Raw genomic sequence first — 13331 nt, 5'->3', positions numbered from 1 at the left:
TTCTCTGTGTTGACCAATATGGTAGCCACCAGACACAGATAGCTACTGAACAGTTGAAATGTGAGTATTCCATGTGATAAACAATTTTTATTTAAATTAATATGCATTTAAATAGCAACATGTGGCTAATGGCTACCATATTCAACAGCATAGCTTAAGTTCATTTAGAAATAAGCTGTGCATAATCACTGGACAACAAACTAATTAGCACTTTTCAAAATAATGCAGTTACTTACGTTTGAGGCTGGGAAGGGTCATCCCCCAAAGAAACGCTCTCCCCTTGGATCTCATTGAAACACTTCTCACAGAAATGATACCTGTCGGCAAGAAGGCCATACTGGGGTGAACTGTTCCGTTCACACAACACAGCCCAAGCCAAGCAACGAAGCCACCAATCACAGCAGGCCAAGGAGGGGGACGGGAGCAGAGAGCAGGTCATCAACGGCGACAAGGACATTCAATGATGCAGATATATGGGCCCCACAGTTTGGGTTTTGGTTTTTTTGTTTGTTTTTTTGTTTTTTTTTGTTTTTTTTTTTGCAATCAAAGCCAAGTGCAGACAACGACAAGCATGAGGGAGAAAAAAAAACACAAAACAAACGAAGAAATGAGGGATTGCAAGACAACAAAAAACATAAAAGCAAGACAGAACAACACAAAGCAGAAAGCCAAGGCAAAGCACAGATTAGCATTAAATATCTCAAATGGGATCACAAGTAGCAAATGATTACTGCAAATAAAAGCAAATGTTTCAATTACACAGACCCATATCCTTTCATTTCAGCAATTAACGCTATGTGATGTAAATAATCAAAAGGAGGAAGAAGGATAAATATACCAGGGAGAGAAGAACTGCTACTCATTACCTAAATACAGGAATCACACCTCTTCCCACTTACAAAACAAAAAACCACAGACCCCCACCCCCCACCCCAAAAGCCCACTATAGATACAACTGCAGAAAACAATAATCTAAAACAACCATTGCCAGGCGTGGTGGCTCATACCTATAATCCTAGCACTTTGGAAGGCTGAGAGGGTGGATCATCTGAGGTCAGGAGATCGAGACCAGCCTGGCCAACATGCTGAAACCCTGTCTCTACTAAAAATACAAAAATAAGCAAGGCATGGTGGCACACACCTGTAATCCCAACTATTTGGAAGGCTGAGGCAGGAGAATCGCTTGAACCCGGGAGGCAGAGGTTGCAGTGAGCTAAGATTGCGCCACTGCACTCCAGCCTGAGTGACAGAGTGAGACCCTGTCTCAACAAAGAAAGAAAAAAAACTGTTTATTGAAAAGCCTGCACAAGCAGTTAAATACTGACTACAGCCATCAAGTGATACATTTCAAAAGGAAATGATGTGTGCAGGTACCTGATTAAAGATGGCTTGGTGCAAAGATAAACACTTTAGACTACTGTTTTAGTAAACATGAGAAAAGTTTCATGTCCAGTTACTTGCTTTTTTAAACATAAGGTACTTATAACAACTTGAGTCCCACCTTTTCTAGGTTTCAAATGAGTAAAGAGCTAGATTTTTACTCACTGCAAAATCAAAGCATTAGGTCTACAAAGCATTAGAAGCACGCCTAACTTTTTGTAAATAAAAGAAAAAGTTTAAGTGACTTTTCAAAGCTAGAAATGCATCTGCAACACACAAGTTCAGCAAAAACCAACACCATGGATTTGGTATTAACAAACAAATAAAGGGTATTAATATCATCCAGCCTTGTTATTATTGTATCAGAGCCCCAAATAAACACCCAATGCAAGCTATACTTGTAGCTGATCACTGAAAACAGGAGACAAATTGTGGTTAAGATAGATTAGTGAATGAGATTTATGTGATTACAGCCATTGATTGGGCAGGAGAAAATTAGGCAGAGGTGCCTCGTTTATTAGACTCAAATCATCCTCTGTCACATACAAGGCTGGGTTGGGAAAAGTAAGGTACAGAGAGCTATGTGAGGTTTTCCTTTTAATTTGCTTAATATGAGGCAAAGAAAAGACTCCAGAATCCTGTTTTCATATATTCTAATAACAACTACTTAGGGATAGGCCTCATCTAAAAAGGAAATATTTCCAAAAAGCTGTCTAGCGAGTTTCAGTTAAAAGTTTAAAAATCTTCTCAGTTTTGCCTCAGGCTGTGGTGATCAACAAACACACAGTAGAAAGAGAAGTGGGGCCTGGGATATAGACCCATCTAGGCCAACAACTCACAAAGTTGCTTAACTTCTCAAGCTCTTGGGAGGAACCCAGGTAACTGATGCAAGGCTACTCTGATAGAAAATTTTATTGTTCTGCAAACAAAGGCAGAAGGCAAAAAACAGAACTTGTGCTATACAGCTGTCTTCAAGCAAGATACACATGAACCATGACTGTATGTGTGCTGGCCCATCCGCATGCACTCCCTGGACATGTGGACACATGGACCATGGTCCACACCTGGCCAAGCTTACCTGTTCTGGTAACTGTAATAAGTGGCATCACGAGGTATTGTGCACAACTGTTTGCCGTAGCAACACAGTGTCTGTGGAGAGAACTCCAACTGCAAAAGAAACCATTTGTTAAAAAGCACAGAGGCCTTAAGGACAAGCTAGAACAGTAAGAATGGCAAGTCAGAAACAGAAGTCAGTGGTGTCTTAGTTCTCATTTATGTTAATAATGATGGGCTAATTCAGTTCCTGAAAATCATTCTCAGTTTACTACCACATTATTTCAAAACGCTGAGGTAGGCTTAGCAGTCATATCCTTCCATCACTTTACCAAAGAACCTAACAGGAATAGCTGGGCAGGGTGGCACATGCCTGCAGTGCTCAGAAGCTGAGGTGGGAAGACTGCGTGAGCCCAAGAGTTCCAGACCAGCTTAGGCAACACAGCAAGACCATAGTCTTATTTTAAAAACAAAAAACCAATAATGTGAATTGGTATGTACAGGAAAGCCAGCACATGCTGAGGAATCTGCACCCACAGGTGAATATAAGAATGCCCCTACTCCAGATGAGTTAACAGTCTGTTGATTATTTAATTAGTCAACTTTTCCATACAATTGCCACTCTGAAAAAATGCCTTTAAAGAAAGCCCATTTCATATTAAGAGATATTACTACTGTGGCACACAGTAAGAGAAAGACTGTGTTGGCTGGGAGAGGTGGCTCATGACTGTAATTCCAGCACTTTGGGAGGCCGAGGCAGGAGGACTGCTTGAGCCCAGGAGTTCAAGACTAGCCTGAGCAACATCATGAGACCCTGTTTCTACAAAACAAATTTAAAAAATCAGCCAGGCATGGTGGCGTACGGCTGTAGTCCCAGCTGCTCAGGAGGCTGAGGTGGGAGAATTGCTTGAGCCCAGGAGGTTGAAGCTGCAGTGAGCTATGACCTCACCACTGCACTCCAGCCTGGGAGAATAAGACCCTGTCAAAAAGGAAAAAAAAAAAAAAAAAAAAAAGCCATGTCAAAGCCAGAAGCAGGATATTCTCTTATCCCAGTCACCACTATATTATTCTAGGTATCCCAGAAAAGTTAAAGTCAAATCTGAAACACATTTCTTACCTTTCTGCCACAACAGTATCCAAGGCTTTGCATCACTGGGTCAATTTCTTGTTCAAAGACCTCAGAGAGCTTGGAGCAGTATTTGTATACCCGTGATGTTTTCCGGTTATATAACCAGGCATTATTGAACATAAGCCAAATATCATCGACATACTGCCAGGGCTCCTGATACTGTCCAGTGTCTAACTTCCTCTTAATGGTAGAAAGATCCATGGGGCTCTTCACAATATCAAAGTAATCCTAGAAAGACAAGTGACATCAAACATTACTCAAGTCTCACTATTTTTACGGGAGATGGAGTATCATCCATTATCATTGTTAATTTTCCAGGCAGTGTTTTAGTTTCTGGCCTGTCTATATTCCCCAAGAGGTGACTGATGTCCATCACTTCTTTAAATATTAGTTTACAGAGATATTAAACTACTCAAAGGGCAGAGAAACAGAACTACTATGGACTTTCTAGACATCAGGCTGATATTCTACTGAAGCAACTTCAGGTTCTTTATGAAAGTACATGTGAGATCAGTAAAGTCAAAGACATTTAAAATTTTAGTACTAGAAGGGGTGTACAATGAGGAAACTAAGCCCACAGAACTTAAAATGTTCCATCTGAAATCACAGCAAGATACAAGAGAGGAAAAGTCCTAAAAGGCTTTTGCCCCTGGAAGCACTTGACCTTTGAGATGGAGTCTCTGTCAACATGTTGCCCAGGCTGGAGTGCAGTGGTGCAATCTTGGCTCAGTGCAACCTCTGCCTCCCAGGGTCGTTCAAACTATTCACCTGCCTCAGCCTCCCAAGTAGCCAGGATTACAGGCGTGCACCACCACGCCCAGTTACTTTTTATATTTTTAGTAGAGATGGGGTTTCACCATGTTGGTGAGGCTGGTCTCCAACTCCTGAACTCAAGTGATCTGCCTGCCTTGGCCTCCAAAAGTGTTGGGATTACAGGCGTTAGCCACCGTGCCCGGCCAAGTAACAGTTTAAAACCACCAAATGAAATCTGCCAGCAGCCTAGTATATGGAGGCAACTTTAAAAACAAAGCTAACCACGGTCCTTTTTTCTGCTATGACCTATTGCTCTTGAAACAACGAAAGTGGCCGGGTGCGGTGGCTCACGCCTGTAATCTGGGCATTCTGGGAGGCCGAGGTGGGTGGATCATCTGAGGTTGGGAGTTTGAGACCAGCCTGACCAACATACAGAAACCCCATCTCTACTAAAAATACAAAATTAGCCGGGCATGGTGGCACATGCCTGTAATCCCAGCTACTCGGGAGGCTGAGAGGTAGGAGAACTGCTTGAACCCGGGAGGGGGAGGTTGAGGTGAACTGAGATTGCGCCATTGCACTCTAGCCTGGGCAACAAGAGTGAAACTCCATCTCAAAAAAACAAAAAACAAATAACAACAACAAAAAAGTAAACAAACTATATAACCCAGGAATTCCACTCCTAGGTAAATACCAAGGAGAAATAAAAACTTAAATCCACACAATGTTCACTACAGTCCTATCTTAATAGTCAAAACGTGTAAACAACCTAAATGTCTATCAACTCATCAACAGGTAAAGAAAAATAATGGAATATTATTGGGCTATAAATAGGTATGTGCTACTGATTCATGCTACAACATGGATGAACCTTGAAAACATTATGCTAAGGAACGTCCTGGCACAAAGAATCACATACTGTATGTTCCAATTTAATGAAACATGTAGAACAGACAAATCCAGAGACAGAATGCAGTCTGGTGATGTCTAGGATTGGGGTGCTATGGGAGAAAATAGTGAGTGACTGTTAATGGTAAAGGATTTTTTTCAGATGATGAAAATGAAAGTGTCATGCACAACTCTGTGAATATACTAAAACTCCCTGAATTAGGCCAGGCCCAGTGGCTCACACCTGTAATTCCAGCACTCTGGGAGGCTGAGATGGGCCTATTGCTTGAGTCCAGGCGTTCAAGACCAGCCTGGGCAACATGGCGAAACCCCGTCTCTACTAAAAAATACAAAAAACTAGCCAGGTGAGGTGGCACATGAATGTAGTTATCCCAGCTACTCAGGATGCTGAGGTGGGAGAATCACCTGAGCCCGGGAGGTGGAGACAGTAGTGAGCCACGATCGTGCCACTGCACTCCAGCCTAGGCAACCAGAATAAGACCCTGTCTCAGGGGGAAAAAAAAAAAATCACTGAATTACAAATTTGAAATGAGTGGCTATACTGTTTGGAATGTGAATTATCTCTCAATAAAGCTGTTATCAAATTAAAAAATAAAATCAAAAGTACCACCAAATACTTACAGGGATTCCTAAAAGCTGAGGGTCCACAGGTTGACGAAAGGGAAGGGATTCTGGATCCTGACGGTAAAGTGCCTCCAAAGTTGGCATCAGTGCCTGTCGTAGTTCTTCTGGTTTGAAAACTTAAAAAAAAAAAGTGCATTTGAAATTAGTTACCAATTAAGCAGAAGAACTTTAAAAAATCATTCAGCCTGAAGCTCTAAAAGCATCTCAAGAATCAATAACAAAATTAACCACTCTGTCCCCATGGAAATATCACTACAGGCTCAATCACTGATTCTAGATTCTAAGCCCCGCTTTGTTTCAGACAGCTCCTAAAAAACATTGTGTCTTATCACCTTAAAACACTCTTCACCCTCAGCTTAACTTTTCAGTCACAAAGTCAGTGAAGACAGACTCGGTCAATTAGAAGCAGAATCCAAAGGCTTCTAAAAATTTATGAAGAGACTTTGCCAAATAAGAGTCCATGGGACCAGGCACGGTGGAGGCTGAGGTGGGCAGATCACTTTGAGGTCAGAAGTTTCAGCCTGGCCAACATGGTGAAACCTCGTCTCTACTAAAAATATAAAAAATTAGTCGGACATGGTGGCATGCTAGTCTCAGCTACTCAGGAGGCTTGAGGCAAGAGAACTGCTTGAACTCGGGAGGCAGATGTTGCAGTGAGCCGAGATGGCGCCACTGCACTCCAGCCTAGGCAACAGAATGAGGCCCCATCTCAAAAAAAAAAAAAAAAAAAAAAAGAGTGCACAAGATACTCGTGTTAAGAGGGAGATGCAGTCAAGCAAGAACAGAAAAGTCTTTCTTCATGACATCAGTATTTAACAAGTCAGAAACTAGACTAGATCAGGTATTGTCTTATACTACAAGGAGTCAGGGGCACAGAAGAGAAGACTCCTTCGTTCAAATGCTTGGTATTTTAGAGCCAAAGAAAAAGAGACATGTACTATTTTAATGACAAATGTTAGGTTTAAGTTTAAAAGAAGAGAGAACAAAAATGGTATTGCTAAAATAATAGACTTAGTTGATCAAATTAAGTTCAAATGTGTTCTCAATGATATTTCCCAAAAAGTCCGGAAAAATTTGTTGGTGTGTCCCAAATGGAATCAAACAGTTCTTTGAGAAGCCAGTGATTTAAAAAGCTTTCAATTTCAGCAAGGGCCTTATTTTTTCTTAATTGGCAAAAAAAATTTCATCATCGGTAGAGTATATTTGTTACTTCAGATAATTTTCACCTCTGGGGGGTTGCCATGGAGTGGGGGGAAACCAGACTACGAAGATGCTTGTCACTCATATTTAGCTGTGCTAAAAATAAGGACTATTTGAATAAACTTGTGAAATTAGACATTTTATTTTATTTATTTGTTTGAGACAATTACTCTCTGTCACTCAGGCTGGAGTGCAGTGGCGCCATCTTGGCTCACTGCAACCTCCTTCCATCTCCCGGGTTCAAGTGATTCTTCTGCCTCAGCCTCCCAAGTAGATGGGACTACGGGTGAGAGCCACCACACCCGGCTAACTTTTGTACTTTTAGTAGAGACAGAGTTTCACCATATTGGCCAGGCTGGTCTTGAACTCCTGACCTCAAGTGATCTGCCCGCTCGGCCTCCCAAAGCGGTGGGATTACAGGCATGAGGGAACACACATTTTAAAGAGAGATTGCCAATAGTAAGACTGGGTTTGTTACAGCCCATATTAAAACACCTCAATATATACAAGTCTTATTTTTAAAATGAAAATAATTTTTTAATCCCAACATTTTACAACACATTGTATTAATGGAACACTTTTCAATATATATCATCTGTAAGAGCCAGCAGACTCACTCCTCAGGTATGTCCTACCTGGTGCCTTTTGCAGATCACTAGAGCCACAAAAGTTCTAGTCCTAAAATAGTCAATTAACACTTGTTGGAATGGCTGGATTTGAGCACTCTGCCTCAGACTGCCTGGGTCTGCTTCCTGGCCCAGGCAGTAGGGTCAGCTGAGTAACCTGTGGAAAGTTACTTAACTTTGCTAAGCTTCAGGCCAATAACCTCAGAGCTGTTGTGAAATTATTAAATGAGGCCGGGTGTGGTAGCTCATGCCTGTAATCCCAGCACTTTGGGAGCTCGAAGCGGGTGGATCACCAGGTCAAGAGATCGAGACCATCCTGGCCAACACGGTGAAATCCTGTCTCTACTAAAAATACAAAAATTAGACGGGCATGGTGGCATGCGCATGCAGTCCCAGATACTCGGGAGGCTGAGGCAGGAGAATCGCTTGAACCTGGGAGGTGGAGGTTGCAGTGAGCTCAGATCCCGCCACTGCACTCCAGCCTGAACAACAAAAGTGAGAATCCGATTCCAAACAAAAAAGAAAAGAAAAAGAAAGAAAGAAATTATTAAATGAGACAATGTGGATACTTAGCACACAGCAGGTGAATGACAAATGCTATTACTATTGCTATTCTTTCCTGCATTTTAGTCAAGGCTATTTACAAACATTTCTCTCTCCTGAAAAATGAGACAATTTTTAGGGTGTACTAACACAGGGAACCCTGAAGAAATGAGGGGAATGACTTAACTCATTGGTTGCTGCAAGTGAATATTAAAAAAAAAAAAAAGAAAGAAAAATTATTAGTAACAATGAAGAGACCAGGCCCAGGGCTTCCAGGTTAATGAAATCACAATAATGGCAACTTCTGAGGCCCAAGAGGCATGACCGCAATTCTGCCCTGGGTCTTTGGTTTCTTCAGCTACCTCCAGAACGAATGGCTTCAGAGACTCACTCTTTTTCTTTGACTGTCCTGGAGCCGGAGATGACTGGGTAGCTGAAGTACTTGGCTGGTCTTCCTCCTCTTTTATTTCAGTTTTTAACTCAGTGCTTCTCTCTTCTGTTTCGGTAGATTCCATTTTACAGTCTTCCACTTTAGACTAAAAGAAAACGTAAGAATTTTTAGTATTCCAAAGATATCTAGTTGGGAATCAGTAATCTGAACACCCTTTCTCATGCAAAATCTATGCCATGAGATCTAATTATCAAAATATTTTTCTGCAATATTTTTTAAAACTTGGGTTCCTATACTGAGGTCCTAACCAAATCAAACAGTAATTGCCCTACTCTCACCTCTGAAATATCCTCCGGCTGAGTATCTGCTGGTTCTGGTTGATCCACTTCCATTTTGGCCTCCATCTTCACTTCCTGGGAAGGCTGCTTCTCAGCAATGGCCTGAGAATTCACTTCTGTGCTACTAGTAGATGGAGGATTTGATACCTGTCCTTCAATGCTTACAGCTGGCTGGGAAAGCTGGGCAGAAAAAAAAGGGAAGTAGGTGAGACACACGCAGAGTCTGCCAACGATACAATCAGAATGTAAGGTAAGCAACAGGATAGCAGAATTAGCCACCTATTTCTTGGCTTATATTTATTCATGGTGCTTTCATTTGCTCTGCCCATTTCACCTCCCTTAATTATGCTTAAGAACAGGAGAATTAAGACTTGTAAATACTGGTTGGCTGATTGTACATCAAAGAACCAGCAACTATTTCATTGATAACTATCATTATCTGGCAGTGTGTGGGGATTTCAAAGATGTCTGCTTCAGAGGAGCTCACATTTATACAGAAATGAGTGAAAGAAAATAAGAAAGACTGGCTTGTTTTTACCTTCTCACCAGAGAAAGTTTCAAAGGTACAGAAAAGGAGACAATAAATATAATGATGTCCCAGAGAGTGGCTGTTTTGAATCGCTAGATTCTAATGAGATAAACTGGCATTCCCTATCTTTATCCTAAGGCTTGTCATAAGAAATCTCTTAATGAGAAGTCAGTATTTTCTGGAAGTATCCTTGATTTTATAAAGAATAAAATCAAGCAGATCCACTGGTTCCTCTCTCATTCTGTCCTTCCTTGTCTATCAGAGGCCACGATGAACCAGCCATCCGTCAAGTACAGTACTTTATAAAACGGCTGTGACTCATGGAACTTCTCAGTTCATCAACATGGCTGAGAACTATTGGATACCGATATATATTAATATCGGTATCAAAGTAGAAGCTTCTAAACCCTTAAAAAAAGTTCTATTAATAAGGATTCAACTATTAGATGAGAATTTGGATTTTTATTATATACATAACCAACCTCTCACAAGGAAGCTACAGGTTGTTCTGGGTCTATAATTCTCTCATCTTATTTTTAAACTTTGGTTTGGGCCACAAGGACTCATAAATCTGCAATTTTTTTTTTTTTTTTTAGACGGAGTTTCACTCTGTCGCCTAGGCTAGAGTGCAGTGGCGCAATCTCGGATCACTGCAACCTCCACCTCCCAGGTTCAAGCCATTCTCCTGCCTCAGTCTCCCGAGTAGCTGGGATTACAGGCACCCGCTACCATGTCTGGCTAATTTTTGTTATTTTTTTGTAGAGACAGGGTTTCACCATGTTGGCCAGGCTGGTCTTGAACTCCTGACCTCAAGTGATCTGCCTGCCACAGCCTCCCAAAGTGCTAGGATGAAAAGTGTACACCACCGCGCCCGTCCAAATCTGCAATTTTTAAATTCAATCTCTAGGTTTTATGGCTCAAACTGTTTGAAAAAGATTCCTTAAATATATGTAAAATTTATGTGCTGCACTAAATAATATACTAAATAAGGAGAAGGATTGTGTCCCCTTGTCGTACCCCTTTACGTACCTTCAGACCTCAGGGTACAACATGAAACATAATGGTCAAAGTCAGAGCTAAATAAAATCTTTATGCTCCTGCTACGATAGGTACTATCACAGGAAGGCAAAACAGGATACAAAAGTCCCTAATGAAAAATAGATTACATTCTACTTGTGGAGAAAACAGTAAGAGATAAAGCAAAAGAGAATGGAAATGGCCCAGAAGTAATATAATACTACAGTATAGCTCTAATGATTCTGCCTAAATCCAAATCTCTACTTACTGGAGTTGCAGGCTGCGGAGGAAGCAGCGGTGCTGTTGGGGTAGGAACAGACGCTGCTGTGCTCTGCTGTGAGCGAGGCTGCTGCTGGGGCTGGTCAGCAGAAGGTGCAGCAGGAAGTGAAGGCTGCACTTGTTGGGGAAGTTGTGTTGTTGGTGGTGTAGGTGTCTGCCTTGGAGGGGGATGTAGAGCCTGGGACTGTGGCCCAGGTGGCATGGCAGGAGGTGTAGGAACAGGGGCTGGAATTGTTGTTGCTGGTGGCTGCTGAGCCCCTATGCTTGGGGGAGTATGGTGAGGGGTGGGGGTACGACTAGGTACAGGCGAGGGTGAATTCTGATGAAGAGCTGGTTGAGGAAGCTGGGGACAGTGAATGTGGCTCCCCTGAGACCCTGGAGGCATTATAGGAGAGTTCACCGGGCAGGAAGAACTAGACATTTGTGCCTGTTAAAATAAAAAACATAACAAGACAGCAATTCAGAACAGAATTAAGGAAATACTTACATAGGCATGATATATAAATTTAGGACACAAACTGATTAAACAAAGAGTAGCAATGTGTCTATTTCAAAATGTGTAAAATACCCTATTACTGGGCATGTATCTTTGGACAGCACCATCAAGATAGTACTTAACTAAAGAGACTTCAAACCATTCAGCAGAATGGCCTCAGCCACCGCAGAAAAATGGCAGAATTGAGTGCAGAGTGCTCTAGGGCCTGCCTATGCTCTTTTCAGCCAGATTTCCTTCTACATTGTGTTTAATTCTAAGATTTATTTTAAAGTGTTCACTAGTAAAAACAATTAAAACTATCCATTTAAATTATTTCCTACTTTGTAACAATTAACACCATTGCTATGTCACAGAATAATCTCTTCATGTTCAGAATACCCTAAGTCCAAAATTGTTATTTTTTAAAAAATCATCTGTTTTCACCCACTATTTGCTGCCACTCTCTCCTATAAAAACCTACATCAAGAGAAGTTTCAAGAATCAAAAATAAGTGAAAAATCCACTTATGAGACATACTTGAGACACTGGAGCTTGACCGCTGGACGGAGCCAAAGGGATATTTGTTACATTCATTCCCTGTGATGGGAACTGAGTCTGAGGAAGGAACTGGCCCTGGTTGGAAGGCTGTTGCATACGAGGCCCATAGCCCATAGGCTGAAAAAAAAAAAAAACACAAATCACCAAACTGCTTCATTATAGTTATTCTACTATAACTAAAATCATCAAATGCTCCTAACGTCAGGCTTATTAAGTAGAGAAAAGCCAAAGACAGGAGTATAGGTGAAGAGGGCTGAAGAGGAGAAGGAAGAAAGTTGTAGAACAACTGACTCTTGTGCCAAGATAAAGAGAAATAGCCTCACAGTTTACCTAGGCCTACTCCAAGAAATAGTAAGAGGATGGAACACACATTCTCTTGGTACACAAATATGCCTAGCACAAGGATAGCAGGTAATTTTCTTTGCATGCTCTGTTAAGTGAGGAGAGTTAATCACAATTTCATGAGGTCATGTCAGTGATGTAATAACACAAATTCTAAGACCCATAATATGTAAAAACAAGAAAATCTTACAAGTTGTAGCAGAATCTGGTAGCATTCATGGTCCACAAATGCTCTAGCACTGTTACATGTCATTTCCAAAATTACCCTACACAAATTCAGGCCTTAAAGAAAGAAATCTCGAGTACCAAAGGCCAAAAACTTCATAAGCTAAGACCATCTGTCTTATAGGTTAAAATGAAGGACAGAACTCCCTGTTGAAAATGGCAGATTAGTGAGAAGTAGTAATGCTCAGGAACCCCCAAAAGGGTCAAGAATCAGAGGCACCAGCTAACTCTAAAGGGCAGCAGGAGGGTTAGGGTCAAGGTAGAGAGATGGACTGGTTAAGAGTTCGCATAAGGAGCAGGAGAAGCCTAGTCTCTCTTCTCCGAGTTCAAGAACCAGGCAAAAACGCACCATCAACCTTGCAAGACAGTTCTCTGCCTGGAGGAGGGAAGACAGACATCAGGGAAGAGAAGTGACCGTGAAAACGCATGCAGGCCACTAAACACTGACACTCCAGGGACAAGGGACTGGCTGTTTTCGTTTTTTGGTCAGCTTTCTAGTAGAGTTAAATACAGAAGAATTACAGAAGAACTAGGAGTTATGGTCTGTTTAAATGACTGTGAGAATTTATAAAGTAGGAACAAACAGGATTTTCAAAATACCAGGTAAAGGCCAAAGAGATTACCAAAGACGTCAAACTAACCGGGTTGAGAGCTCCAGGTTGAGCCAACTGTCCATGGTGCTGAAGAGGAGGGGTTTGCCGGGGTACAATAGGGGGCTGGGCCATGCTCATCTGGCCAAATTGATTCAAACCTGTGAATATGAGCAAAATGTTAGATCTGAATGCCTTTGTGAAATTGAATAATAAAAGATAGAATTCTTATGTCTGATTCTGTATCTTTTTTTTTTTTTGAGACGGAGTCTTGCTCTGTCGCCCAGGCTGGAGTGCAGTGGCGCAATCTCCGCTCACTGCAAGCTCTGCCACCTGGGTTCACACCATTCTCCTGCCTCAGCCTCCTGAG

At 41.6% G+C, this 13331-nt stretch overlaps 1 protein-coding gene across 2 annotated transcripts in view, besides 1 other annotated feature; it reads right to left on the bottom strand.

Moving 5' to 3' along the window:
• Positions 1-13331, bottom strand: part of EP300 (EP300 lysine acetyltransferase) — an 87486-nt gene that overhangs the window by 19119 nt on the left and 55036 nt on the right. For both annotated transcript variants that reach the window (NM_001429.4, NM_001362843.2), the window contains 9 exons: positions 13013-13122; positions 11784-11921; positions 10761-11198; positions 8947-9126; positions 8609-8753; positions 5846-5964; positions 3551-3790; positions 2459-2547; positions 237-317 (listed from right to left, as the gene is read on the bottom strand). In NM_001429.4, coding sequence (NP_001420.2) covers positions 237-317; positions 2459-2547; positions 3551-3790; positions 5846-5964; positions 8609-8753; positions 8947-9126; positions 10761-11198; positions 11784-11921; positions 13013-13122 — 1540 coding nt within the window. The remainder of the gene's footprint in view (positions 1-236; positions 318-2458; positions 2548-3550; positions 3791-5845; positions 5965-8608; positions 8754-8946; positions 9127-10760; positions 11199-11783; positions 11922-13012; positions 13123-13331) is intronic.
• Positions 8381-9580: an enhancer, noted in NCBI's record as "BRD4-independent group 4 enhancer chr22:41547383-41548582 (GRCh37/hg19 assembly coordinates)". NCBI's record gives its function as "activates an origin of replication core promoter dependent on BRD2, P300/CBP, MED14 and CDK7 cofactors, and independent of BRD4, by STARR-seq in HCT116 cells {active_cell/tissue: HCT116}" and the evidence as "EXISTENCE:reporter gene assay evidence [ECO:0000049][PMID:35650434]".

This window comes from Homo sapiens, chromosome 22, assembly GCF_000001405.40.
Source record: "Homo sapiens chromosome 22, GRCh38.p14 Primary Assembly".
NCBI classification, from domain to species: domain Eukaryota; kingdom Metazoa; phylum Chordata; class Mammalia; order Primates; family Hominidae; genus Homo; species Homo sapiens.
Note: the sequence above shows the minus strand (reverse complement) of the source record. Positions and strands in the feature narration are given on the sequence as shown.